General features: G+C 45.3%; 1 protein-coding gene across 12 annotated transcripts in view; it reads left to right on the top strand.

Annotated features, from left to right (window-relative positions):
• Positions 1-27,835, top strand: part of GFRA1 (GDNF family receptor alpha 1) — a 217,781-nt gene that overhangs the window by 177,127 nt on the left and 12,819 nt on the right. For all 12 annotated transcript variants that reach the window (NM_001382557.2, NM_001382556.2, NM_001145453.4 and 9 more), the window contains 3 exons: positions 815-924; positions 3,743-3,877; positions 7,657-7,838. In NM_001382557.2, coding sequence (NP_001369486.1) covers positions 815-924; positions 3,743-3,877; positions 7,657-7,838 — 427 coding nt within the window. The remainder of the gene's footprint in view (positions 1-814; positions 925-3,742; positions 3,878-7,656; positions 7,839-27,835) is intronic.

Genomic DNA, 27,835 nt, shown 5'->3' with positions numbered 1-27,835 from the left:
TGGCCACAAAGGGCCCTCTTCTCCGCAGACCAGCGTGTCTGCGGCTTCTGTCCCCTTCTGGGCTGCTGCATCTTCACTGCCACCCAGGGCTTCTGGGTGGACTGCACCGGCCCCTGGAGAGATTCCAACCTGCAGGCAGCTGTCTCATCTTGCAGCAGCCTCTCCAGGCACAGCCTTGACCACAGGCCCACCCGCCTAGAGCAAGCCTCTCTGTCCCTCTTGGCTTCCCCTTCTGTTCCCCAAAGGCAGGCTCCTCCCCAGTGCCACTCGGCTGGAATAAATCACTACCCCTGGGCTGGTGGATGAGAGGTGACTTACAAGACAGAAACACACATTCTTAAAGCCAGTAGGAATTACAGGAGCAGATGGGCTGTAGGATCCTATTTTGATGCCAGGGACACGTTTCTGTATAAAGTAAATATTTTCCCAGTGTGGATCTCCGGTGAGTGTGTGGAGAAGCATATTTCCTAAAGATGCAAATAAGTCTAGTCAGAAATAAATATTGAATGGAAACTTCAAAGCCTCTAGATTCCTCCAGTTATAGGCCCTGAAGACTTCTCTCTGAATAAACAGAGACACACAGGTGGGCGAGGGCTGGGGAAAGGGACATGAGGGGGTTGAATGAGAAAGGATGCCAACAGTTTCTTAGCTCACGTTTTCTACGTATTTTGTGTGTATGTGTGTGTGTGTGTGTGTGCGTGTGCGTGTGCAGAAAAAGGCATATCAACAAAGGAATAAAGAAAACATGTCTGTCCGGAGGCTTAGGATGTTTTAAAGCACATTTCCACCCCCCACCCCTTTTTTCCTATTGTAGATCTCGCCTTGCGGATTTTTTTACCAACTGCCAGCCAGAGTCAAGGTCTGTCAGCAGCTGTCTAAAGGAAAACTACGCTGACTGCCTCCTCGCCTACTCGGGGCTTATTGGTAAGATCCGAGAGAAGCAGGATGGGAGAAGAGTGTGGTTTGCATATACCTGCGTTCTTTCCATTGCGCCTTGCTGATGTCTGCAGAAGTGAAAATCTCACAGTAACCTCTGGGCTGGGGTTTGGATGTTAAATCCTTGAGGACATGCCTGTAAAAAAAAAGAAAAAAAAAAGAAGAAAAAAATGGGATAATGGATGCGTGAAAGGCAGAGGCAGGAAGCGGGGATTACTAAGGAGTGGGGAGGCTGCAAGTGCGCAGACGGGTAAGGCGTCTCAGTTGGGAAACTGACCACGCAGAACAAAAGCAGAGAGAAAAAATGTTTGGTTATGGAAGAAGAAAGCGAGTCAAACAAAGTTAATTGAATTAGGGAACTTTGGAGAAAGGGAAGTCATTCAGGCTGGGGAAATCAAAAAGGCTGCTTCCCAGAAATGGCCCTTTGGAAATAAAAACCCTAAATACAGGGGCCCTGCTTGCTGTTAATGTTCTTGGTAATTCAACTCCCAGTGTGCAGTGGGTGATTTAGGCTAAATTTTTTTTCCTGAAAACAGACATAGCAGTAACCGTATTTTCTGTCTTTCAAGACCCAAGGCTTTAGAAGAACCATGTTCTCAGCATTCTGAGCAGTGTGATTACGCATGACTGCCGTGAGAGTCAGAAGGGAAGCAAACTTGGACCCCTGGATACCAGGGGCTGTCAGGGGGAAAGGCAGGTGTCCCAGGTACCAGGGACAGCAGAAGCCTTGGTGGCAGGGCTCATCTCAACTGGCATTTGGGAAGGAATATGCAGTGAAAGCTGTGGAAGGGTGAGGAAAATCACAGTTGTCAGAAGCACGATGGCTCAGCCAGGGTGTGTGTTCCTGCCGGCTGTCTGTGTCAGGGTCACACACGTCACCACTAGGAAGAACCTCTCCCGGAGAATGACAGCACAGACTACATTCTTTGTCACCAGAGCATCTTCAGCAGGCGGCTTTGGGAAAATCAATAATGGTACTTAATGCAGGGATGGACAGGTTCCTGGTACATTCTTTACTCCCAACTTTTTGGAAGGATACCTGCCCTGCTGTGGGTAATAGCTTTCCCCAGATCCCCAAGTATTTTCTATTTTTATTGATTGGGCCAATGAGTGTACCTTCCTTAAGCCAATACTCCAAACTTGCATTCACTCTCTCCTTTTCCCGAGTAAGTTAATCTCTGCTAGGGATGATGTATCAACTATGGAATTGCAGAAATAACAAAAGTAGTCAAGGCATTCTCATTGTAAAAAGTGTTTTAAAAATACAGAGAAGCCCACAGAAGAAAATGTTGAGTATCTCCAACTCAACTCTAGCTGCATCTGCTAACAGTGTCTACATCTTATGGACGTGAGATGTAATAGGTGGTCAGTAATCCACAGCAAGTATTTGGTTCACAAACAGAAAAGCAGTTTTTTTCCAAGCTCCTCTAAGTCAATGGATGTAGTCCCTGTTAACACTTCAGTCAGTGCCCTTCCCAGGTGTACCTGCTCCTTAACCTCTTTATGAGGGGCCAAGGCCAGGTACTGCCAGCATTTCCATGAAGTTTTTCCTAGGCTTGGCAAACCTTAAACCCTTACGCACCTAAGGATGATGAATGGAGGGCCCAATGGCAGAGGCAATGCATTGCAGAGACCAAAATGTCTTTCTCTGTTGGGTCTGGATCTCCTCCCCAACTTCTTTCTGGACAAGGCTTATTCCTACTTCTTCCATGTATGCCAGGGGCCCACCGTGGCACCAGGCATATCCAATGGCCTTAACCTCCTCCCCTAGTGTTCAGGGTGCCTGTTCCTTTCTCAACCAAAGTTAGGAGTTCCCTCTATGCAGTAGGTTAAAATGTTCATCCCAAGGTATAATGCGATGTTATTTAGTTCATGTCAGTAAAGAATATAGGGCAAAGACAGTATGCCCTTGACTCAGAGAAGTTTAGAACAAAATTATTTTTCTGTTTGTGATCCAAATACACCCTGCGGACTACTGACCACCTATTACTTCTTACATCCAGAAAATATATAAAAACAAAAGCCTTCTTGTCATCAGCGGGCATTGCCTGGTGTCGGCCACCCAGGAGAAGACATTTGGTTTGGATTAAGTATAAATAATTTGTGTGTTTGTGCCAGTTTAGAACTCATCAGAAATATCACGACAAGATGTAGGCAGGAAGGACCACCCAGCATTTCTTTGAGCACCATTGAGAGTCCACAGGCAATACTCTAGGAGCCGTTGACTTAGAGAATTTCCACTGTTTGTTTCCAGTTCTTTCACTACGTGGAAGACTTTATTTAGATCAGTTGAGAAGACCCCATATATATGTATATACACTCAGGGTGCAGGCTAACCGCTAGGAAGCTTCTAGCTTCCCTATGTCACTCTAAAGAAACCATTTGCTTCTGGGGGAAGTGGATTCAAAGTCCTAAACAAAATTGTTTAAGATATGTAAACCCGGCTCTATCTATTTATGAAGATTAATGACATTTTCAAGAAAATGCAAGGGATTTGGCAACTCATGCGTTCTCTAAGTTAATTCTTTCCTACTCCACGACATCCATACCATTTGTGCAGGAAGGAATACCCTAAGTGCAGCTCAAGGAGTTCTGTTATAATTTTTAAAGTAAATGTGTAAATTATTTTATGTGCTCAAGATAAATTGCCGAGAAAATGCACTGCTTAACATAATTTCCCACTCAGCAAATACAATGTCTGTAATTATCCACGGTGCATCCGCCGTCAGAGGAATATTGGTTTCTTTTTAGGCCATGGAAAAGTATCATCATACAACAATAAAATGCCTTGTTTTTATTCTTTTAGGCACAGTCATGACCCCCAACTACATAGACTCCAGTAGCCTCAGTGTGGCCCCATGGTGTGACTGCAGCAACAGTGGGAACGACCTAGAAGAGTGCTTGAAATTTTTGAATTTCTTCAAGGACAATACATGTCTTAGTGAGTTTGTAAAAAATAAGAAACAAAGGAGCAAACGCATTTTCTTCTCCGAGCTCCAGCTGTACCTCTTGTACCTTGTGCCTGTACCTCTTGTACCTTGTGCCTGTACCTCTTGTACCTTGTGCCTGCTTCCTCTCTCTGTCTGTCTTTCTCCCTTTCTGCTTAGTCACTGATGGTAAATCCAGCTCCTTTTGTGGGCCACCCCGTGTAATGCAGCAGGGAACCCAGCAAGTGATGAACTGGGTGCTGCTAAGACTGTGAATCCAAAGGCCTGAGAGAGCAAGAGATTCAAATAACTAAGGGTACATTATGTGGGAAAGAACGCTTCTACCCGCAGATCAAATTTTGATCTTGGCAGCCTGCGGAGAGTCTGTTCCAAAGGTTCTTGAAACCTGGGCGGAATATACAATGTGAGAAGCTCAGACAAATTAGATGGGGATAGGCCTCCAAGGACTCTCTGAGAAAAATTAGAATGTTAACATCAATAGCCCCTTGGATGCTCAGGGCTGGCTCAGAGGAGAAGCAACAATTCTTGAGGGGGATAAACTGGCGATGCAGGCAGGAGGCTCGGGATGCCCGTTATCTCTGGAGGCGAGATAAGCACTGGGGAGGAGGGAGGGGGCTCCTGCTTGAAAGCAGAATCCGTTCTTACTGCAGTGTCCTTAAGGCAGTTTGGAAACACGTTTCCCAAAGGGACAGGGATAGAGAGAAATGGACGGATGTGAACAATGGGCATTCATCAGACTCCAAAAGCACGGTGCCAGGACTCACGTATATCCACCCAGATATGCACACCCTAGATGACGATCCAGCTGAGATACTTGAAAATTGCAACCCACTCTGTGGCAGCCGCCATTTATTGGGTATCTTCTGTGTGTTCAAACTCACTCTATAGCGAGTGTAAAATATACATTCTCATTTACTGTAATCTACACAAGAGTCCTCATAGACATAGGTGGTTTTATCCTGCCATACAGCTGAGTAAAGCCTGGTAATTCACATAAGCCTCGCATGCCAGAGTTAGGATCTGAAGTGTGAATCCTTTTGCGGCCCCCTGTGTCCTAAGAGCTTTGTTCACCCCGATGTTGAGGAGCCTGTTGGATGAGAACATAGGCCTGAACTTCAGGAACCATGTCAGTCTGACTTCCTGGTGGGAGGGGTGCACTAAGTTTCTGGGAATCAAGGCTCAGCCACCCACCCCTCTGAGAGCCCTGTCTTCAAGTGCCAATTTCTCCATGATGCTTGGTTGGTAGCTAATAGTTTACTATGCATACACACGCACACACACGCACACACACACAAAAGCTTTTGTGTGTTACTCTAAAACTTCCTCATCATTTACTTTGTTGATAGGAAAAATTGAAGTCATTTGCTTACCAGACACTTCAAATAATGTGGCTGTAGTCAATTGCTTTGGGCCTCTTAAAAATAAAACAAGCTTTTGGATTCTTAAGTGAAATTCACACCCACAAAAGTAGTGTCAAGTAAGGAGACCTTCACTACGACATTGGGGCATACCAAGGAATCACAACTTGGACCTCTTATTTGGTCTCGACTGAAAATGTGTGTGTGTGTGTGTGTGTGTGTGTGTGTGTGTGTGTGTGTACGTATGTATGTATATTTCCTCTTTTTCACATCCATCTGGCAGAATGCAAGTTTTAACGAAGATAAAGCAATGACGATGGAGGTCAGTGCAAGAAAAGATTTTGCTCATGCTGGCTGGAAAACTTCTCCCTCACAGGGAAATTAAAGTTGTTCCTGCTTTATAACCTTTTTGGTGAAGGAGAGAATAGTCTGGTGTCTCATTGTTAATGACTTTTCAATAAAAATAAATGCATTTTGTCTGCATCAGGGGCCAAAGCCAGCCAGAATTTTTCACAGTCATTCCATTTCCACTATGACTAGATGGGGCACAGAGCCCCAAAGACACAGGGCCATCAGTTCAATCTCTTGTAACTAGAAGGAATTGCAATTTGTAGATTCCAGCCCAAATGTAGAAACTTAATTCTGCTCCGTTCAGATTAAGCCAAACCTCTCCCAGATTCTCCTTTCATGAACACAACTCTAGCCAATTGTTTATTTCTAGTTTGGGGGAGGAAACAGTTGTTTTTAAGCCATGTGCATGACAGATGCATGGGGAAGAGACAAATGGGATGGAGGTGAGGTTAGATATCAGTGGCTTTCACTCAGGTCTTTATTCAGATGGCACCTTCACCAGGAGGCCTTCCTGGATCCGTTTATCTAAGTACCAACTCCCTCTCCCCAGTCAATGCCTCTGGCGCTCCCTTGCTTAATTTTCTCCAAGCATTTCTCACTGCCTAGTGTATTATATATTTCACTTATTTGCCTGCAAAACCACAATGTGACCTCCATGAGGGCATGGACTTTTATCTTTTGTTGATGTTGTTGTTCACTACTGTGTGCCCCATGCATAGTTCAGTGCCTGGCACTTAGTAGATATTCTATTAACATTTGAATGAATGAATGAATGAGCAAGTGAACAACTGAACCGCTGATGTGGCAAGGCAAACACACTGGGAAAAGCACAGGTAGTTGCAAGAAACTGTGAGTCTCTTGAATCTACATGTTTTAAGCAAAAGCAAGGGTAGCAGTGGTGGTTCTTCTGGGCATTTAAGGGAACTGGTCCCTGTGTGCCTCTTTCTCTGCCTCACACTCACCAGTTAAGCCATGGAACATAGCTGGGAGCATAAAAAGCATTTATATTAATTTGAAGCTGTTTCTTACAGCCCCCAAAAATGTAAAGGTGCAGAAAACAAGCTTCCAATTTACTGAACTTAAAGGATAACAATTTTAGAACAAAATGTCACTTCTAAGAGGAAGATTAGGCTTAAATTATTCTGTCTTGTATATAGAAAAATGCCAACTAAGAGTCATATATTAACAATTTGCACATTCAGGTCCCAAATGGAGGAGTTTGGTTTTTTATACAATGAATATGAAATAAAAAAAAACCCTAAATCCAGGCCAAATCCCCGAAGACCTGATTAGAAACTGTTTTTTATTCATTTTGGGGAGGGGAACAACACACAACCAATTTAATCTTGCCATAAAAACAATCTAATCCTATGAAATTGTAATAAGCTTTTGAAGTTTTACATTTTAAACTTTTCATTTAAGCAGGGCTGCTCCTACCTAATTATGCAGATTTTGCTTGGAAGACTGGAGCAGAAAGAAAAAAAATAATCTTACTTAAATTTTCACTAGATACTGATGAGATTTGGGGTAGTTTTTTTTTTTTTTTTTTTTTTAAAGAAACTGGTTCCATTTTGCCTGCCATATTAATGTGAATGCCACGGAATTGCCTCAGTCTCATGATTAGGATTTTTTTTAAAAAGCACTAATTAGTTTCCTTTTAATATAGAATATTGACAGAGCACAAGAATTTTCTTGGAAAATGGGACAGTTATGATCCCAAGTAACAGTACTGATGCTGGGTTTCAAAGGGCTTGACTGATGGATATTTTAGGGCAAGGATCTTGCTCAGCACCTGGCACGTAAACAGGAACACAATAAATATTTGTTGCATTCTGAGCATAGCTAAGTGTCCAGCTCAGGGTGTAATGACTGAATTGATTTTTGAGCAACTGACCCCAAAGACTGGCTCTCAGCATGTATAGGGCAAATGGATGGATGCGTTTTGTTCAGAGAAGTCCAATGCTATAATCAGAATTTCTAGTGTGCCTCTCTGGCTGTGTATATCCTGTCTGTTACGTTTGCTGCTTGACTTTGAAATTGGATTTCCTCCTGTTTTACTGCAGAAAATGCAATTCAAGCCTTTGGCAATGGCTCCGATGTGACCGTGTGGCAGCCAGCCTTCCCAGTACAGACCACCACTGCCACTACCACCACTGCCCTCCGGGTTAAGAACAAGCCCCTGGGGCCAGCAGGGTCTGAGAATGAAATTCCCACTCATGTTTTGCCACCGTGTGCAAATTTACAGGTGAGAACTGCGTCCAGATTCCTTGCTGGGGCTCCCTTCCTGGTGGGGGGGTGAAACACGGGCAGACCCATTTTCTGAAATGTATGCAGAGAGAGATGACGAATGCTGCTCGGGTTTGAGTCTCAAAACTGCATTTTAAACACAACCAGTGAAGATTGTGACCTGTCGTATAGTGCAGAGAAAGTCCGACTATGGAACTGACTCTGTCGTTTACTGGGAGTGTGGCTTGTTTCTGGCCCTACTTTCTTTACCTATACAATGAGGGTTCTGGGGAGATGCATCTCTGAAGTTTTCTGTGCGTGGGGTTGTCAAGTTGGCTTGGTTACATATTTATTATGCTGATTCTGTGTTCTCTGCAAAGCAGCAGCATAATGAAAGGAAAGGAGCTCTTGAGTTTGTCATCATCACATGGCATGGAGTATTTAACTGTCTCTAAAGGTAAACCAGAGACAGTGTTGCTGGTTAATTCCCATGCAGACTGCTTGACGGGTTGGTTCTTCAGAAGCAAAAGCAAGTGCTCTTTGGCAGTAGGAGGAGCCGTGAGGAGGCACAAGCTGCCCTGCAAACCCCCGCATGTGGATACAGTCCAGTGAGAACGGTCAAGAACATTCTCTGGGGTTAATCCAGGTCTGCGAGGGCAGAACCACAGCAAGATAGAAGTGGTGATTTCCTGTCTTCAGTCGAAAGCAGAGTCTTTATCCTGCTTTTTTATTGATTTTTCATAGTAATAAGTACTCAGCTATTTGGCAGGACATCTCCTATTTGTATGTTCACAGGGTATGTTCACATTCTTTTTTTTTTTTTTTTTTTTTTTTTTTTTGAGACAGAGTCTCGCTGTGTCACCCAGGCTGGAGTGCAGTGGTGCAATCTCGGCTCACTGCAAGCTCCGCCTCCCGGGTTCACGCCATTCTCCTGCCTTAGCCTCCCGCGTAGCTGGGACTACAGGCGCCCACCACCACGCCTGGCTAATTTTTTGTATTTTTTGGTAGAGACGTGGTTTCACCATGTTAGCCAGGATGGTCTCGATCTCCCGACCTTGTGATCTGCCCGCCTCAGCCTCCCAAAGTGCTGGGATTACAGGCTTGTGCCACCGCGCCCAGTGGTACCCTCACATTCTTTACCCCTTTGGGTGTTATCCTCCTGATGCCTGCAGGAGAGATGCTGTCACTATAGTATCGTAGCTTCTTTCGTTTGAGGACACGGGGGCTCAGAGAAGGATCACTCTTGCTCAAGTCTGCAGAGCTAATGGGTCACAGAGTCAGCACTGGGAACCCAGGAGCCTCGTTCTTTCTGTGATTTTTCCTGTATTTTGAGGGAAATGGTGACCACATGGTAGCTTCTGCCTCCCGCTATGCTGGAGAAGGGGATGTTTGGTGGCCTATGTGCCAAGCACTGTGCTGTCGCCTCATGCTTATCACTGGAGCACATCGAGGCCCCCCAGCCCCCATCAAGGGTCAGCCTCACTAGAATTCTCACAAGATGCCTTCTTTCACCAAATACTAGCTTGACCCACAACCCACTTCATTCCCTAGAAAGTTTCAGAAACTTGTTTTGATTTGCTTGGTATCTCGAGACCCCTCTTCATCTTGGGTGTCCTCCACGCCATTCATCTGAGCTTATGTCTCTGTCCTTTGTCCTTCTGGTTCTCCATCCCAGACACACAGTCTTCAGAGACACTCACACACAGAAAACACTAAGGAGAGGCTGATAACGAAATGGCACAGCCCAAGGTCAAACAGATGTGCTTCATACTTCTAAAGCATTTCCCGGGCATTTACTCTCTCCAAAGCACTGTGCAGAGAAAGCCAGAGCCAGGAGGAGCTCTGGGAAATACTATGGCGTGGAACTGCTCCATCCTGCAGCGAGGCCGAGTTTCAGAGCAGGGAAATGATGTGTTCAGAGTCCTCCAGCGAGTTGAAAGCAGGCCTAGAGCCAGGCAGGGAACAGGGTCTTTTTTCCATCTCCAGCGGGTGCTCTGCACCCTGCTTCCTCCTAGGTCAGCCTTCCAAGCTTCTTGGGCCCATTCAGATTCTGGTGTCGGTAAAGACAAGTGGTCAGGTGAGGGGCAGGATCCTATTATCATAAGGTGATCACGGGAAGCCAGTGGTGGTTTCTGGAAAGAAAAGGCAAGTTCTGGCTACAGCAAAACCAGCTTCTTTTCTGCACGTGTCTCAGTGCACAGAGGGTGACTGCAGAGGCAGCGTTCAGTGTTCAGCCTGTTTATTAAGTCCCTTCTCTGTTTTAGAAACTTTGTGGAGATGGGCATTCAAAAACAAAAGTTGCCTTGTCAGTAAACCTAGAATACTGGGCAAGATGCAACTTGTCAACATTTTTGGAAGTTAATAGGTGACATCTCAGAATAGTCATCATTGGAAACCCCATGAAATTGGAGTTTCCCCCATGAGAGGAGAGGGGTCTGTCAGCCACAGGAGGTGTTCTCTTCCACACCGCCCCCTGTCCCTCCGCCCCCCGCCCAAATCCTGACTTGGGCTCCCCGTGGTACAGTGCAGTATGTGGCTTTGCCCCCAACACAGATCTGTCCAAACACCTTTCCCTGCAAGGAGGATCTGTACTGCCTCAGGGTTGTCCCGGCAACATCAGGGAACACAGGCGCTCTATTCCCCAGAAACCATGTCTTTCCTTTCCTGTTAGTGATAGGAACTCTGCTTCCTAAACAGAAGGACAAAAGTAAAATTAGGAGTTTGTGACCGCCTGGCCAACATGGTAAAATCCTGTCTCTACTAAAAATACAAAAATTAGCTGGGCGTGGTGGTGCACGCCTGTAATCCCAGCTACTTGGGAAGCTGAGGCAAGAGAATCCCTTGAACCCTGGAGGCGGAGGTTGCAGTGAGCCGTGATTGCACCACTGCACTCTGGCCTGGGTGACAGAGCAAGACTCTGTCTCAAAACAAAAACAGAAAACAAAAAGTAAAGCATGACGTTTATCTCTGGGCTGCTGTTTAACTCCTTGGCAGAGGGGGACATGAAGGCGTGGGGCTGTGGAGGAACAAAAAGTGGCTCTAGCCACACCTCTCTTCCCTGTGATATGCACAGTCTCCACATATCCTGGAGCTAAACAGCATTTGACTCCCAGGGAGCCCTTAGGGTTCCATGGAACCTCACTTTGACTCCTAAGATGACGACCTGCATGAGCCCCTTTTTGCACAAATGAGGCAGGGAATAAGGGATAAGGGCAGGGGAGGCAGCCAAGCCCATTTCAGACCCTGCTCTTGTCCTCACCAGTATGGTGGCCTCTGCAAGCATGCTAACTTCTCTAAGCCTCAGCTTCCTCACCTACAAAGCACATATATGGCTTAGCTGCCGGAGTTGAGAGGATTAAATGGAGCAGAGTAAACGTTCCAGAATGGTGCTTTATGAATGTCACATGCAGTTTGGTGTCTGATCCCAAGTCAGTAGCCACTTGGTTCCTTTACAACAGATGGAAGGTGGTGCTATGCTTCCTTGGGGGTGGGGTGTTGGGTGTGTGCTAGGGAACATTGGTGGGAGGTTACACTAACAGGTGTGTAGTTTTATTTTTCAAAACCTTCTGTGTGCTTTGCCCTCTGCACTCCTCACAGCAGCCCCATGACTCAGGTGTGGCAGACATCCTTGCCTTTTACAAATGGAGCAACTGAGCCAGGGAGAGCCTTGTGACATATCCAGAATCACACAGTAATTCTCTAGCAGACTAAGATTTCTAACTTTGAGGCCAAGGCACTTTTGCCTTGTTCCATGACCCTTGGACAGCTGGGATTCTTTCTCTGGATGAAGAATAGACAGTGAGGAAGAAGGAAAGAATAAGAAAGGAGAAGCTGGTTTTGAGAGAGCCGCATGTCTTAGTTCCTCGTGAGGTTCACTGATGCAAATAAGGGGTACAGAGGCAAAGCTCCGACTTCAGACTGGGTTTCTTTCTTCATGCCTCAATTCCAGGAGACAACATAGGGGAAGGACTGACAGTTTGCCAGTAATATTTTTGCAGCTTGCTGATTTTCTAGGGTGACCTCTATGAAGAATGGTTGAAAGGATCATCTGAGGCTAGAGGATGGGGGGGATGAGAGAGTGATGAGTGAAGGGCCTTCATCCCAAGAATGTGGTCCCTCCAGCTGATTTAGGATTCTTGCCTGGGCGGAGGGCTCCCAGGAGACTAATTCTCCCCATCTGACCCTCCTCTGCCTGCATGGCTGTCTCCAGATGAATTATCATTTGCCGGGGAGGAGGATGGGGGTCCTAGAAATATCTTAGAATGGCGTTTGTCCCAGCCACATGTGTCATGACTCAGAATAGAACTGACTTTAACCAGCTTGGGATCCATTGGTAACAGATTCAGAGAAAGTCAACTATCTTTGGCAGCTCTAAAGTTCACTTCCCTTGAGAAGCGCCCTCTTGTAATATTTTAAAATATACAATAATATGAGAAAACTCTTGGGGACTTGAGTTTCAGTCTTAACATTTGAGATAGATTTCCCCCTTGGAAGGGAAGAAACACGAATAAACATTTTCCAAAGTCTGCTCCGAAGTGTAATTATCAACAAACCAAACGCAGTTCTGTTTGGGGAACTAGGTGGCTATGGATATGGTGAATATAGGACGCATCCATGGTTCCTATGAAAGGCTTTGCTTTAAAAAAGGAAAGTTGATTGATTAGTGTAAAATGTTACAGAAATGTCCAAGTGCTAACCCCCTGAGGTGATAAAATACCGGGTTTTGGGTTACCCGCCAAGCTCCCATTTCAGGATTAATTGGCAGTCATATTAGTGACAAGCATGGCACAGGCTGTGCTATTGTTGGCCTATTCCTTCGACTTACTTATATGAAATGGTCATATGGAAAACAAAGAAACATTAATAATCCTATCAATTACTTCATCTTCCGTGCACTGGAGTGGTCTGGTAGCTGGAAAAAGCTCAGGATATTTAAACCAAATGGACTGTGTGTGTGTGTGTGTGTGTGTGTGTGTGTGTGTGTGTGTGTGTGTGTGTTACTTATTTAAAGTAAATATCTTTGGAACGTTAGAAAAATTCTCTATTTTGCATCATTGTACACTGCTTAACTCTGGTGTCTTACAGTGAAGACATCTTAATGTGGTGTTTGTCGACCTCTGATTTCTGTGGTCAAATAGAGTAACAAGGATTGGGAGCTATAGCCTTGGGACTCAGGCCTCCTGAGAAGGTTTCACTGCCTCTGCCTTCCTTCAGCCCCTTGCCCCTGGAAATGCGTGACAGACCGTGGGGCACACGCTCAGCCCCAGGGCGAGCAGGGTAGGTGAGGATAGCTGTGGGCAGTTGGCACAGGCTCCAGTAAACAGCACAAGCCACATTCAAAGTTAGAGATTACTTTTGTGAGTCACATAAAACACATCTGTGGGTGAGACATGGAGGACCAGTGTGACAGATCTCATCCTGGTGGGACTTTTAAAACAGCATTCTAGAAGGAAACCACAAAGCAGCTTGCCTAGTCATGAAAGAGATGAAGGGTCCATGTGGATAATCTTCGAAAGCATGCTTCCTGTTAAAATCAACCATGCAGAGGGCAGCCGTCCTGCCCCCAACCACTCCACCAGTAGCTGCCTGGTCTTCTCTGGCCATCAGACCATGCTAGCCCTAAGGGGTTCACAGTAGAGACACCGTGGGCCCCTCTTTGTGTGGGGTGGGGGCAGAGGCCTTGGGGTGGGCATCTGCCTGGAGCAGAGAACCTGCCACATTCACTGGATTTCAGCCTAGGTTCACACCTTGCCAGCCTCCCAACAAAGCCTCAATACATTTCCTTATCTCCCCAGAGTCGTGTCAAGCTTAGAAAACAGGTACTTGTAGGATGCAGCCTAATGTTTGCAGAGTGGCAGGAGGGATGGAGGGCAGACCTAATCTGTTTAACTCCTACATCTTCTGCATTTGAATATTGAAAATAATCTATATTTAGATGGTCCCTTCCACCCTCTCCCCACGGCCCCAGTATCTCCTCAGATCCAAAGTCCATTTGTTCCAGATGGGGCCAGACCAGACCAGAAATGATTTCAAAACTCTTCTTTGTGGGGGCAAACCCCCAAAGTCTAGATGCGGTGGGAAGGCAATTATCCAAGCCTACCAAATACCCAGGACTCCACTGGCTGTGACCAAGTGAAAATTTTAAGTGTCGAGTTTTAAAAGGAAAGCTGCCAATGGGTGTTCTGTAAATCATTTGTGCCAGCAGACTGACCCCATTATGTCAGCTAATCCTGGAAATACAGGAGGTAAATTTCAATCTTCTAGCACGGAGCACTTAATCAATATTCTAAATGTTTTTCTTGCAATTTATGCTAGCAGAGCAATGGGATGCTTTGGCGGCCCGTTAATCTTCCACCAGAGAAGAGGCGCTTGAGAGCCAGTCCAGGGTGCTGGGATTTTGCACAGGATGATAGACTGGGAGGAGAGGAGGCCTGGGAAGATAGAAGCGAGGAAAGAGAGGTGCTTATTTCCACACCAGACTCCTGGCTCCGGGAAGGGGGTTCACCCCCTGTCCTTACCCCACCCCTCCAAGTAGGGTGAAGTAACCCTGAGAGCAGTTCTTCCGCACTTTCCTTTTCACCCATGGTTAACAGTTTAAGAGTTGGTTTTCCGGGAAAAGCTTGAGCTTTGGAGTTAGTTGGACCTGAGTGAGAATCCTGGCTCGCCTCCTGTGGCTCCATGACTATTGCTTGGTTTTTACCCTGAATCTCTGCTGTAAAACACCACTGAGCTCTTGGTTTTTTGTGAGGGATAAAGAACAGTGCAAGTATGCAAAGAGCCAGGCACAACAACAGGCTGACCCTTGGACTGGGGGAAGTGGCCTCCACTATTGGCATGGTTGGTGAGATGCATTAGAGATTTTGACACAGGAGGCTGGGGCCAGAAAGGAAGAGCTGCTCTCAGGAGCAGGGGGGCCACAGAGGAAGAACGATGGAGCTCTTTAGATTGTATTGTGTCTTCTTAATTAATAAGAAGGGTTTGAGGCTGGGTGTGGTGGCTCACACCTGTAATCCCAGCACTTTGGGAAGCCAAGGCGGCAGATCACCTGAAGTCAGGAGTTTGAGACCTGCCTGACCAACATGGAGAAACCCCATCTCTACTAAAAATACAAAATTAGCCAGCATGGTGGCACATGCCTGTAATCCCAGCTACTCAGGAGGCTGAAGCAGGAGAATCGCTTGAATCCGGGAGGCGGAGGTTGTGGTGAGCCAAGATCGCACCATTACGCTCTTGCACTCTAGCCTGGGCAGCAAGAGCAAAAGTCCGTCTCAAAAAAAAAACAAAAAAAACAAAAGCAAGGGGCGGTTTGAGCTGAATGATATCCTGCCAGTTCTAAGATGTGGTCTTGGTGGAAAGTCCCAGGGAGGAGGGGAAGAGGGAGAATGTTCTTTGGACACCAGGCCAAGAAGGAAGGGAAACCAAAGGCAATAAAAGGACTAGGTCTTCAGGGATTAGAACTGATCCAAATTCCATCTCTCCGCACATCTCCTGGGAGCTTCATCTGACTTACCTGCCTCTTGGAGCTGTGACTTGGAGCTGCCACTCTGGTCAGATCTTGGTCCAGCCTGGTGACCAGAGTGGAACTAGCTGCCACGGTCCCCGCCACATCTCTTTAACCAATGCTGACATTAGGAAGAGGTGATGCAGTTGTTAACATGAAACATTCTTGGTTGCAGAAAAGACGGTATTTGAGAACTAGTCCTGCCTCTTAGCCTCAAATCCCAGGACTTTGCAGTCTTTGCCATATCTGCACTCCACTGATCCTATTATTTGCTTCATCTTTGTCTTTAAATTCAATTATGAGCTATACTTATTTATATGCACACTACTGCCTTTGAGACTCATCTGAAGCTGTTACTAACATATGTGAAAGCATGAGTTCAATGTGCTTTCTCTATATTAAAATCAATATATAAATATTAAAATTAAAACCATAAAAAAGTTTGCGTGCTACCTAAAATGATGTCGTATACCACCAGTAGTCCCCAAGCCCCACTTTGGAAAACATTATAAACCATCTCATTCTATGACAGATCCCAGAACAATTTGCTTTGATAACTTAGGTCACCCTAGCTTTTTATGGCCAGGCATTAATAAAACAAATGCATACGCAGTGCCTCCCCTGAGTAATCCTCACAGTAACCTCAGAAGGTCAGTACTGTTATCATTCCCATTTTTCAGACAAGAGACCCGAGGCACACAGATACTTGATCAGGAGAGGAGCAAGGGCAAAGCAGTGTTCCTCCCTGCCCCCATTATAAATGGCTACACTGTATTACCGAAACCAGAGCACTTTAAACATTGCGTTTCTGGGTAACATTTTTCATCGCTATAGATTAAATCAGTCCCTAAATTCTTGTTGAACATCTGGCAGACTGAAGTGTCAGATTGGTTCATAAATGAGCATAAAGAAAAGTAATGATGCCTATTCTGACACCAACTGGTAGACCGCAGTACAACTCAATTCCGAGCTAACCACTCAGGGTGTCAGACTCCACAGGTTATGGCCGTGGTCCCCAACAAGACGGCCCTTGCTTCAGATGCCAGTCACACTTTGGGGTTCCCAGGCCACCTGCACTTCTGACCAACTAGTTACAAATCCAGGGGTTCCTATGACCCCCTCAAGTTCATTTCACTGGAATGATTCACAGAAATCAGGAAAGTGCTACAAGACCTAAGATTACAACTTTATTATCAGGGTACAGATCAGAACCAGCTAGACAAAGAGATGCCTAGGGCAAGGTCTGGGGGGGTTTCCAATGGAGAGCTTCTCTGCCTTCTCCCCATGGAATTAGGGCATGTCGCCCCCTTGCTGCATTAATGTATTTGCTGCCCAGGAAGCTCCCGGAGCTCAGTCTCCAAAGTTTTGTTAGAGTTTTATTAAGTAGGCACTATTGATTGAATCATTGACCACGTGACTGGCTGTCTTCAGCCCTCCTCCCCACACCATGGGGATCAGGAAGTCAGGCTGACCTACTGTGGCTCAAGTCCCAACCCTGTGACCCATGGTTGGTCTTTGTGGTAACCTGACCTAATCCTGAGTCATCCCATTACTCGGACACTCAGGTGTGATCCAAAGAATTCATGAATAACAGGCACTCAAGAAATTCCAAGGATTTAGAGGTTATCTCTCAGGAACCAAGGACAAAGGCCAGTCAAATTCTTAATTATACAACAACGCCTCATCAGAGTTGGTTGTTTTAAAATATAATTTTAATTCTAGAGATGCACCGTGAAACTTCTTTTATTTTTTAAATGTTTTATTTCCATAGGTTACTGGGGAACAGGTCATATTTGGTTACACAAGTACTTTAATGGTGATTTGTGAGATTTTTGGTGCACCCATCACCCAGGCAGTATACACTGCACCCAATTTGTAGCACTGTGAAACTTCTCATAAGGAAGCCGGAGTTGAAACTGTGCACTCCACCACTTAGTAGCCATTAAACTTTGGGCAAATTACTTATCTTTTCTGCCTCAATTTCCTCATCTTTAACGTGCAGATGACAGTAGAAGAGCTTCCTGGGGTGTTTGCGGATTAAATGTGTTTGTGAGTGTAAAGCATGCTCAGAATGGTGCCCAGCTCAAAAATGGTACTATGTAAGTTTTTATTAGTTGTAAGTTTCAAGGGGCTTTCGGCCCAGCAATTGGATATCACTGTCCCCCTTCGTCCCACCTTCAGTGTCAGAGAAGTGCCCTTAAGGATCAGGCTGGGTTATGGGACTCAGGAGGCATTGCTTTATGGGGCCTTTTTCCCAGCAGGCTTTCTGGTCTTCGTGGCCTGTGGAGCTCCAGTGTGTGGAGTGGAACTTGTTATGGATAAGACAAAGGATGAGGTCTTGTTAGAGTGGGGGTTTTGAAATGGAGTTTGGAGATAGGTGCTTCTTCATGAGAAGTCACTTGCTTCCCCTGGTATTCTCTGCTGAGGGTGGGCTGCACACCCCCCTGTGCCAACCCTGTCGATTTCAGTGAGGATTGTCCAGTAACCTCTTGGCTGTGAGTTGAATGGTTCTTCCAGGCCAGGCTTCCTCGACATTGGCACTATTGACATTTTGGTCTGCAAAATTGTTACGGGGGGCTGTCCTGTGCATTGTAGGGTATTTAGCAGCGTCCCTGGCCTCTACCGTCCGGATACCAGTAGCACCTTTCCTCAACTATGGCAGCCAAAAATGTCCTTTCAGCACTGCCAAATGTCTCCAGGGGGCAGAAGCGCACCTGCTTGACAATCACTGCCCGAAGCGAAGGGTGCCTCAGAGACCCCCCTTTTCCTTTATACTAACAAGGAAAATGGGGGCTTTTGAGAATCCTCGTGTTTCTTCCTCCTTCTGTAGCAAGGAGCATAGGGAGATATAAGTGTAAACTGGTGCACTGGACCAAATCTTTCCTAGGTAGTGCAGGCAGGGACAAGGAAAGGAAGCTGTGGTTACTACTTGTCTTAGTCCATTTGGGCTGTCATAACAAAATACTGTAGACTGGGCGGCTTAAGCAACAGAAATTTATTTCTCATAGCTCTGGAGGCTGGAAAGTTCAAGGTCAAGGTGTGGGCAGATTGGGTTCCCAGTGAGCGCTCTCTTCCAGGTTGCAGATGGCCGCCTTCCTACTGTATCCTCACATGGAGGAGAGAGAGACCTCTGGTGTCTCATCCTCACACCATCACCTTCTGGTGTTTTTACGCATCCAGCGCGCTGGATGATTACCCTGCAGAGAACATCTCAAAGGAGACTTTTGCCCAACGACCATAGTGGATGGAAGTGTTGTGCCAAACCATGGTCAGGCTTCTCACACATGGCTTTGAGGACGGAGGAGCTTTAGGAGGGGTGGGATTGAATGGGATTAGAAAACTAGCACCAGACATGTCAACGCTGAGCCCATAGCACAGGCATAGAATCTAAATGACGGTAGCAACGTGGATACCATTGCCTGGGCCTTTTATCTAAGAGAATGGTCTTGGGGCTGCGTGTTATTTGTGGTGTTTGGTTTATGGTCTTTGTGACGTTTTCATCGTCTCTGTGTGATACAGACTGTTTTCTAGCACCCGCTGTTATTTTTGTCACATAGAAAAAAATCCAAACCTTGGCTATATCTAACCTTGGCTATACCCAGCGTTTTCTCTGCGTAATGGTCTCCTGCTCTGGCTGAGTTTATTTCCCCACTCTAGGAGGAATGAGCTGTTGGAGGGGGATCTTCCCTTAGCAGAAGTGTTAAGCTGCAAGGCCCCTCACCTAGACTACATCCTTCTGGGCCCTCCTGGAAGCTTTATCACAGAGCTCTGGACCAGGCTGCCAAGTGGTTCCAGGCCCTGTGTGGTGAACCTGCTTCTCCCAGCATGGACAGGCTACCAGTGACCTCCTTGGACTTCATCTTCTTGGCTCCAAGTGCCAGCAGAGGAGCTTAGAGGGAAGCTGCATCCCAGAATCCACCCACGTCAGCCTTGGGAGAAAAGAGGCTGTTGTAAAAACACCTTTTATAATAACTGCTTATAGAGCATTTTCAAAGCCCTTCAGCCAAGAAAGTGCTTGAATTCAGAGCTCAAAATTGGGTATTACCCTGTTAAGGCTGCCATACAAGCCAGCATGCTCAACTACATTTTCAATTGTGTATTCAACTCGATTGGAAATGGACACATGCAGGGTATAACTAACTGGTACAAAAAATAGGAATTTAATCTTGGGGGCCAGGCCTTATGATTGATAGGTACATATGTGTGGCACCCTACATCCTAGGTATCATACATGTAAGTGGCAGCTATTCCGTAACTAAGCATTTTGCATTTACAAAATCTCACTCATGGGGAGACGTTAAGGGAAAACAGTGCTGTTCCTGCAAGACTTTTCTTAATCTCCGGGGCCCTACTAAGTGTCGCTTGTGCAGACTTTAACATAGGAAGCTGACTCTTAGTTCTGTGGTTGCAGGAACTTGGCAAAAGGCAGCTGCCATGGAGGACAAGCTGTCCCCCCCAGCCTGCCGACATCAGGTGCTGGGCTGCCTTGCTGAAGCAGCTGTTATCATATTGCCAGCTTCTGCAAACTTAATTCAAAAAATGATTTCTTTGTGATTGGCATGTTTGCATTGTAGCAAACTTTGGTTCAACATATTGTTAGAATACATAATACTGTAATTTAAGATTATTTTATCAGCAGTAAAGGGTTTTATAATTCATTTTAAAAGTTGTAATGGGCTTGAGCATCTTCAGTATAGTTTAATAATACGGCATTTTATAGCTGGCTGTAAAATTTCAGATTACGGTTTTAGCAATTGTGCAATTCTATTTTATAGTTTAATAATTGTTCAAATGAAGGAGAGTGTAAAGTTCCTAAAAACCAATTTAATGACTTAGAAAAATAGCTTTTATCAAAATCTATTGCACACCTTTAATGAACCCAGATGTCACCTTTTCAACAAAGGCAGGTCATGGGATCTATTTTTCTCAGCAACAATGTAGCCAGATGCCCTCTCAATTAAGCACATACAGTGCTGTATCTCTAAATTATAATAATTTTTCTCTTTTTAAAAACTCTTTTATCCCTAATCTCCTATAGCTAGAATAAGCCTATTTTCCAAGCACTAGGTGAACACCAGTGAGGCCAGGAGAACTCCAGCTTAAACAGGCGATAAATTGGTTCTCTCCAGAGAAGATTTTCATTTTACAGATGGCCTCTTGATCACACTGCCTGAACCCCAGCTCCTAACTCTTATAAAGTCTCTTATGAATACCTCCAAATAACTCATAGTTTACTATTCTATAAAGTGAATGGCAGAAAGGGATCCCTACCTGATAATTTAATTATATATTCTCATTACGAGTAATACAAGTGTTATCATATATTATAGCATCTGGGAGAAGGCATGATCTCATTGTCATTGGAATTATGGTTCATGTTATTTATATTTCTGGAATTTGCCATGGGTATGTTTTGAGGCAACAAAAGCCAGTAAAAGCGGTGGCCCAGGGATACAAACACAGTTATCACATAGCTTAGGGAGCACACCATGGGGAATTAGGTCCCAGGACCCTTGAAAACAAGTGTGATTATTGAGCGAACCAGCTCTGGCTCAGAGCCATGTTTCTGCTACACAGAAATGGAAAAGGTCAAAGGAAGTCCCATGTGGCTGGGCTGTTTCCCCTCTGAGGTGCAGTCTGGTGACCTGGGGTTCACGGCCCATTACCACTCTGTGCTATAAGCAGTGTGGTACCTTTATGTGAACAAAGGGCAGGCTGATTTTGAACCCTCCACCCGGTAAATACTTTGGGAAGAGGTCACCTGCAGCGCCTAGAACCCCTTTCTTCTATCACCCTGAAATGACACAGGCTTCCTTTTTTTTTGTTTCTCATTCAGTTCTCTAGTTGTCTGACCCATCTTTGTCAGCTTGGCTCCAGGGTGTTTCTGTGGAAATTTGGTGTTCCTTGGGAACAATGTAAGGCTGTCCGTGCCTGCCATTTGGATATCTTTTGGCAGGTTTCAGTCATCTCAGCAAAGATGCCACAGCTGGAAGACATTCTTGCTGCCTTCAGACAGGCATTAGCTCTGGGCTTCAGCTGTTGTCTCCTCTTATTCCTCATCCCAGAACACCCCAGTACTATGTTATAGTACCCCAGTACTATGTTAGTACTATGTAGTGGACAGCACTTAGTGATTCTGTGGTCCCATGGAGAATGGAGGCAATACCGTCCTTTGTTTTGCTCCAGTCCGACACTCACTTTAAGATAATAGAGCTTGGCCGGGCACGGTGGTCACGCCTGTAATCCCAGCACTTTGGGAGGCCGAGGTGGGTGGATCACGAGTTCAGGAGATCGAGACCATCTTGGCTAACATGGTGAAACCCCGTCTCTACTAAAAATACAAAAAATTAGCCGGGCACAGTGGTGGGCACCTGTAGTCCCAGCTACTTGGGAGGCTGAGGCAGGAGAATGGCGTGAACCCGGGAGGCGGATCTTGCAGTGAGCCGAGATAGCACCACTGCAGTCCAGCCTGGGTGAAAGAGCAAGACTCCGTCTCAAAAAAAAAGATAATAGATCTCAAGCAAAACACAGCATCAATTGTACTGATGCCTGACAAGTGATCATGCAAACAAGTGCAGGGTGGTTAGTTTCCAGTGTTGATTTTTTTTTAAGAAAAGGAGACTATCATACTTAGGAGAAGATGCTGAAGGGCCAGGCCTCTTGATACAATAAAATTCAAACCCTCTGCAGGCTAAGATGGAGAGTAGCTTAATCTCTTTGGTCCTTGGATTTATCATCTAAAATATGAGAATGATAAATGCTACTGCCCAGGAGTGTTATAATTATTAAACAAATTAAATCCTTCATCACAGTAACTCAGCCTCCAGGACAGTAACATTTATACCATTATTTTATTCTCCTGGGTGGTCTTTGCTGATGATGACATAGGAGGAGCCTGTGCCGAGGCGGCATCCGGTGACCTTTACCCCAAAATTCATCTGAGAAGTGAACTTGAGCATCATATAGGTGTGCTACCTTGCAAAAATAGACCAATTGTTTGATCACTCATTTATGATGTCTTCTCCTAAGCACTTTTTTTTTTAAACCACTATTCTCAAAAAATGAGAAAGACTTAGAGAGAGGATGGGAAGATAAGGTCCTCCTCAGTGCATTATGGGAAAAGCCATTAGGCCACCTGCACCTGTGGTCCAGAGGGCAGTAAGGCCAGCCCATCAGAAGGACAGTAATTCAGCCCTTGGACAATTGCTTAACCCAATTGCTGGGTAATAAACATGCTTAATAAAAAGGAATAGGACGTCTGCACCATCTTGGCTATAAATATGCTCTCTTGTTCTGGGTAACCTGTGAGAATACCTCTGAGCACACTTAGATCACATACTATAAATAAATCCAATTTCTTATATCCCCTACTGACCTTTTATCCTTAGGACTTCTAGCCAACCATGTTCCCCTGAATAATAGGTTCTGCATGTTCTTGAACCATGGAACTCCCTTATGTGGAAGCAAACAGCCCTGGTTCTCTTATTGGGTAAAATTCAACCAAGAGCATCCCTCCTCTCTGCCCCTTATATTTCAAACCCAAGAAAATGAGACTCTCTGGAGAGGAAACTCAAGACAGTGGGCACTGAGTCGACATTTTGGGAGTTTTCCCCAGGGTGGCTGTCCCCTGCCTGCCCCTTTGCTGCAGGGACCTCAGAGAGGCACTCACCACTGGCATCTTGGAGGAGCAGAAACCTCCTGGCCTGGCTTGACCTCTGACTTCCTACAGAAGCTGCATTTGCAGAAGTTGCTCCTGGTTTCTGGGGTGAAGCTTGGGAGGACACCCTTGGGCTCTGTATTCCTTTTCAGACTGTTGATTCTGTGCTGCCTGAGCTGTCTCTGTCCATGCTGGCTGTGTGAGCCTGGGCTTATGACTGCACCTCTCAGAACCTTCCTTAGCTGTCACCAGGATAATGAGCTGTTTCTGAGGGTTGATGTAAGATATAGGAGATAATGGACAGCCTGTCTAGCATGGAGTCAATATGCATTGATTTTTAGAGTCAGAGTGACTGGGTTCAAATCTCAGCGCAGCCTCTTCAAGCTGTGGAAACCTGAGCAAGTCATCACCTCTCGGAACCCCTGTTTCTGACCCATACGAAAGGGGAGCACACCCCTCAGAAAGTAGTTTCAGCGATGGGTGTATTTGGTAAAAGGCAGATGGGATCATCATCGGGTGAAGGCTATTTGTGACAGTAATGATCACAGTCATCATCACTATTCATCTACTTGGTTTTCCTATACTTTCTAGAATATTTTTCTCTAAAAGCACGTATTCTAAAAAACTTTTAAAGGTTTTCTGCTTTTACCTTGTTTTTTTGCAACACCAACCATGTTCTGTCTTCTGAACCAGAGGATGAACAAAAGCCCCTGGTCCGTTATGTCTCCAAACCGTGGTGTTTTATATCAAACCTTAGTTACCACCATAAGTCACAGAGCCATTACGGGGCCGCACTCAGCTGCACATAAATGCACAGGAGAATGAGAGGCTTAATAAATATTATCTGATGGTGATGAGGATGCATGTCTGATGAGATAGGCTTCATGCACTTCTCATCAGGGACAACAATGAATCTTTTCTGTTGCTCTTGCACATTTGCATTCCCAACTGCACATTCTGAGAAAACAAATGTTTCATTTTAGGGCCATCCCTCCTAGCTGCCTTTATACCATTAATGCTGAATGTTCGCTATACAAAACAGCCGCCCTCACCCCAAACCAAAACGTCTTCAAAATGTCTTTCACACATTTTTGTCATTATCTTATTGTTAATTGTGCATAATTTTCTAAAATACAGCTCATAATTGCTTCTTGTCTGAATATTTTGCTAATCAAGCAAGTTAACCATGAATGAAAACAAACAGTTCTCTAATATATTTCTGCAACCTGTGTCTGCCTCAGCGTGGGGAAAAGCAAAAAAGATGTAAGGTGATCCTGTGAAGGTATGAAAAGAAGAAGTAAGCCCAGCCAGGGCACCCTGTGAAGCTCTATGCTGTAGACAGAGTCTGCACGCAGCACTCCTTGCCATCTTGCCATTAGTGTTAAATTACAAGTACAAAGCTGCAGGCATCCTTTTATGGTGTGCTGGAGACTGACAGGGAAGCCCGAGGGAATGCTTAGCTAATGGAGGACTGTTGATATATCTTACTGGACTGTGTCTCTTTCATTGCATTCATTTTTGAATCTGAGGAATCACAGATGATCACAAGCCAGTTCTCTTCCATACAAAGTTCGCAGGCCCAATTAGCGTGAGGTTTTGCATTTCCCACTTTTGCCTCGATCAAAGAATGACCATCAACCACAGAGAGGCTAAGAGATTGTCCACAGCAACTTGAATTTTGAAAGGACTTCCATCTAGAGTATCACATTAGATTTTCACAACCCTGTGATTTGGACAGTAGGGCAGGAATGACTGGAATCATGGATGATGGTTGGAAAGCTAGGACTAGGAACCTTGTAACCTGTGCTCTTTTATTTTTTTGTTTTGTTTTGTTTTGTTTTGAGATGGAGTCTATCTCTGTCACCCAGGCTGGAGTGCAGTGGTGTGATCTCAACTCACTGCAACCTCCCCCTCCCGGGTTCAAGCAATTCTCCTGCCTCAGCCTCCTGAGTAGCTGGGATTACAGGTGCGCGCCAACATGCCCGGCTAATTTTTTGTATTTTTAGGAGAGATGGGTTTTCACCATGCTGGCTAGGCTGGTCTCGAACTCCTGACCTCATGATCCACCCACCTTGGCCTTCCAAAGTGCTGGGATTACAGTAGTGAGCCACCGTGCTTGGCCAACCTGTGCTCTTTTTACCGTGGCATATCAGTCAAGCCAGTACCAGGAGCAAGTTCTAAATTGTAGCAGAAGTTCTCTTAACTGACACTCATTTAGCCAGCTCGCCATAGAAGCCAACCTGTCCCTTTCCCTGCAAACATACTGGCTACTGCACAAGACCCACTCCACGGGCCACACTAGTGGACTTCGCTTCTTCTACCCACAAGTGCCCCTCACTCTCTCCAGTTGGGATGCAGGCTTAACAGTCATCAAATATATTTTGTGCTGGTTGTAGTTGGTATTTTTGCTTACATCATTTGCTAAATATTACATAAATCACTGAAATAGGAGCACAAAAAAAGGACAATTGCTTCAATGCAAACTAAGTTGAATATATCTGAAAAGGCAAATTCCTGAAAAAAAAAAAAGCCTTTGGATTAGGTGTGGGTGAGATGACTATAAAGGACCGAGTGCAATTATACAAACACAGGAATATTGTGTACTGAGATTCTTCTGCGGGTGTCAAACGTCACTCCTGTTTTTAGGAAACTGAAACCAGGAACTGTAGACCAGGAATTATAGGCGTGGCTTATGCAAAACATAAGCCAGGGAACTCCAATCAATAGACTCTTTAAAAAAAAAATAGAATAAAGATGGTCCTGGTCACATAATCCAAAAATCAGTAAAGGAGTGATATTTAGTTGGTAAAGTTTCGTATAGACATACCATTTCTAAGTGATTTTGCCCTTTAATTTAATTTCCCAATTGACCACCTATGGGCCCAGTCCCCAGTCAGGTCAAAGAAGAGGGTTTCTGATCTAGGCTTGGCACTAAGCTCAAACTAAATTGCACAGTTCAACTCTGACTGTCCCATTGGTGCCAGGAATCTAAGACCTTCACTGCTGGAGCCTGTCTGTCAGCTTCAAGGCTAGGATCCCCACACTCAAACACAGACATCTGGAATCTGGCTTTATTTCAACTCACTATGCACCCATTATTGGAGGCTTCACCTAAATGTAGCCCAACCTGTCTGAGCTATGCCTCCTCCAAATAAGGAAGTATGACTGCAGGTCCCTCATCCTGTGACTCTACCTGCCCAGACTAATGAAATTTGGCACCCCTGGGCCTTTCTGAAACCTGTGCTGAGTGAAATACCTTTACAAGGCCTTCTAAGAGTTTAATGTAATGAAAGCCTCTGGCTGAGGTTCAGGCAACACAGAGACAAAGCATCTTCAGGGGGAGCAGGTAGAGGAGACCAGACAGTCCCAGGCTCAGTGGTAGAAGAGTCACCCAGGGCTACTCCAGCCCCTTCTCAGAAGCACGCTTGCCCAGCCTCACCCTGGCTGGCCTCACAGCCCCTGGTTTTCTTCCTGGCCTGGGCCAGGGTCCGTGGGGCTTGGCAAAATTAAGCTTGGAGGAAATGGATCCCTTCATTGCTGAGCTCAGGCTCTGGAAGAAAAACACCCCAGCCCACAGGCTCAGAGCAGGTTTTATTTATGTGTCCACTTGTTTTACGCAGCTGACTTTACTGGACATTATTCAGACCAGTGGTTGCAAGTGATTGTTACCAAGTTTGTAGGAAAAGCAAACCTCCAGGAAGGTGAGTTTCAAAATAGAGAGTGGCAGATGTTTTCGAAAGGCTGGCCAACTGCTTGGGACCAGACCAGCGATAAAACTTCTCCCAGCAATCCCAGATGTCAATAGGCAAAATCCAAAGCCAAAAAAAAAAAAAAAAAAAAAAGGCTCCAGACTTCTAGGTGGGCCACCGTTACTTAGCTTGGATTCACTAACAAGGAGCTTCTTTTTTCTGTCTTCTTTTTATATACAGAAATTAATTTGGGCAAATTGGTATCACGTACACAATAGAATTGTTATATAGTATTACCTATTGAAGTCTTTAAGCAGGTGAGTCTATCTATTAAAATACAGTGTGAATGATGCTTACTTGGAAGCAGGTTCCTCTGCTCAGTTAACCTCAATTAGGTACATACTCTTCTTCCCATGGCTTGTCTTACAACGGAACATAAAATATGTAGATTTAAACTGAGAAATGGCTTTGAGTTCTGGACTTCTGCTTCTGGACTGTTTTGGGACGAACTCATACAGTGGTTTTCCCTAGCAAAGGTCCAGTTTGTGCTGCAGAAGAGACTTGTATGCTAATAAACGGGTATTGACAAGTGTGATAGATGCAGCTAGGTACTTAGTGAGTGCTGGAGAGCAAAGTTGATTGCATTTTACAGTCTGTGTATTTCTCTGTTTATTGCTTGTATTCTGTCATTAAGCAAACAGGTTCCTAATATAGCAAATCTCTCTAATCAGTAAAGCAAGGAAGAAAAGAACCAGAGCATCATTAATTATGACTATTTGGCTGCAGACTGGACAGTCTGTTGCTATTGGATTGGGCAACTTCCCCTGGTTTTATTTTCTGGAGGTAGAGCAGAAACTGGCTTTTCTTATGCGTGGAGGAGGAGAGAGAAATGTTCCATCCCTGCTGGCTGACGGCTGCCTAAAATCTGGAGCTTAAATACTGGCTTCTCTACAGAAATGGAGTCCTGGGGCAGCAAGGCCAGGCTCCGGGCGAGTGCACTTTTAAGTCTCCAATTCCATAATCAGAGTGAGCATGCTGCTCGCAAGCCTGACCTGTCCCCAGAGCTTGGGGAGAGCCTGCTGTGGGCAGAACCCACGTAGGGACTGGGCTGAGAGCTATAAATGATGTGTGCATCTCTGCGTTCTGCACAGGAAAGCTGCTGGCACCAC

The sequence above is a fragment of the Homo sapiens genome, chromosome 10 (assembly GCF_000001405.40).
Source record: "Homo sapiens chromosome 10, GRCh38.p14 Primary Assembly".
Classification (NCBI taxonomy): Eukaryota; Metazoa; Chordata; class Mammalia; order Primates; family Hominidae; genus Homo; species Homo sapiens.
The sequence above is the reverse complement of the archived record's forward strand: the minus strand, read 5'-3'. Positions and strand labels throughout refer to the sequence as shown.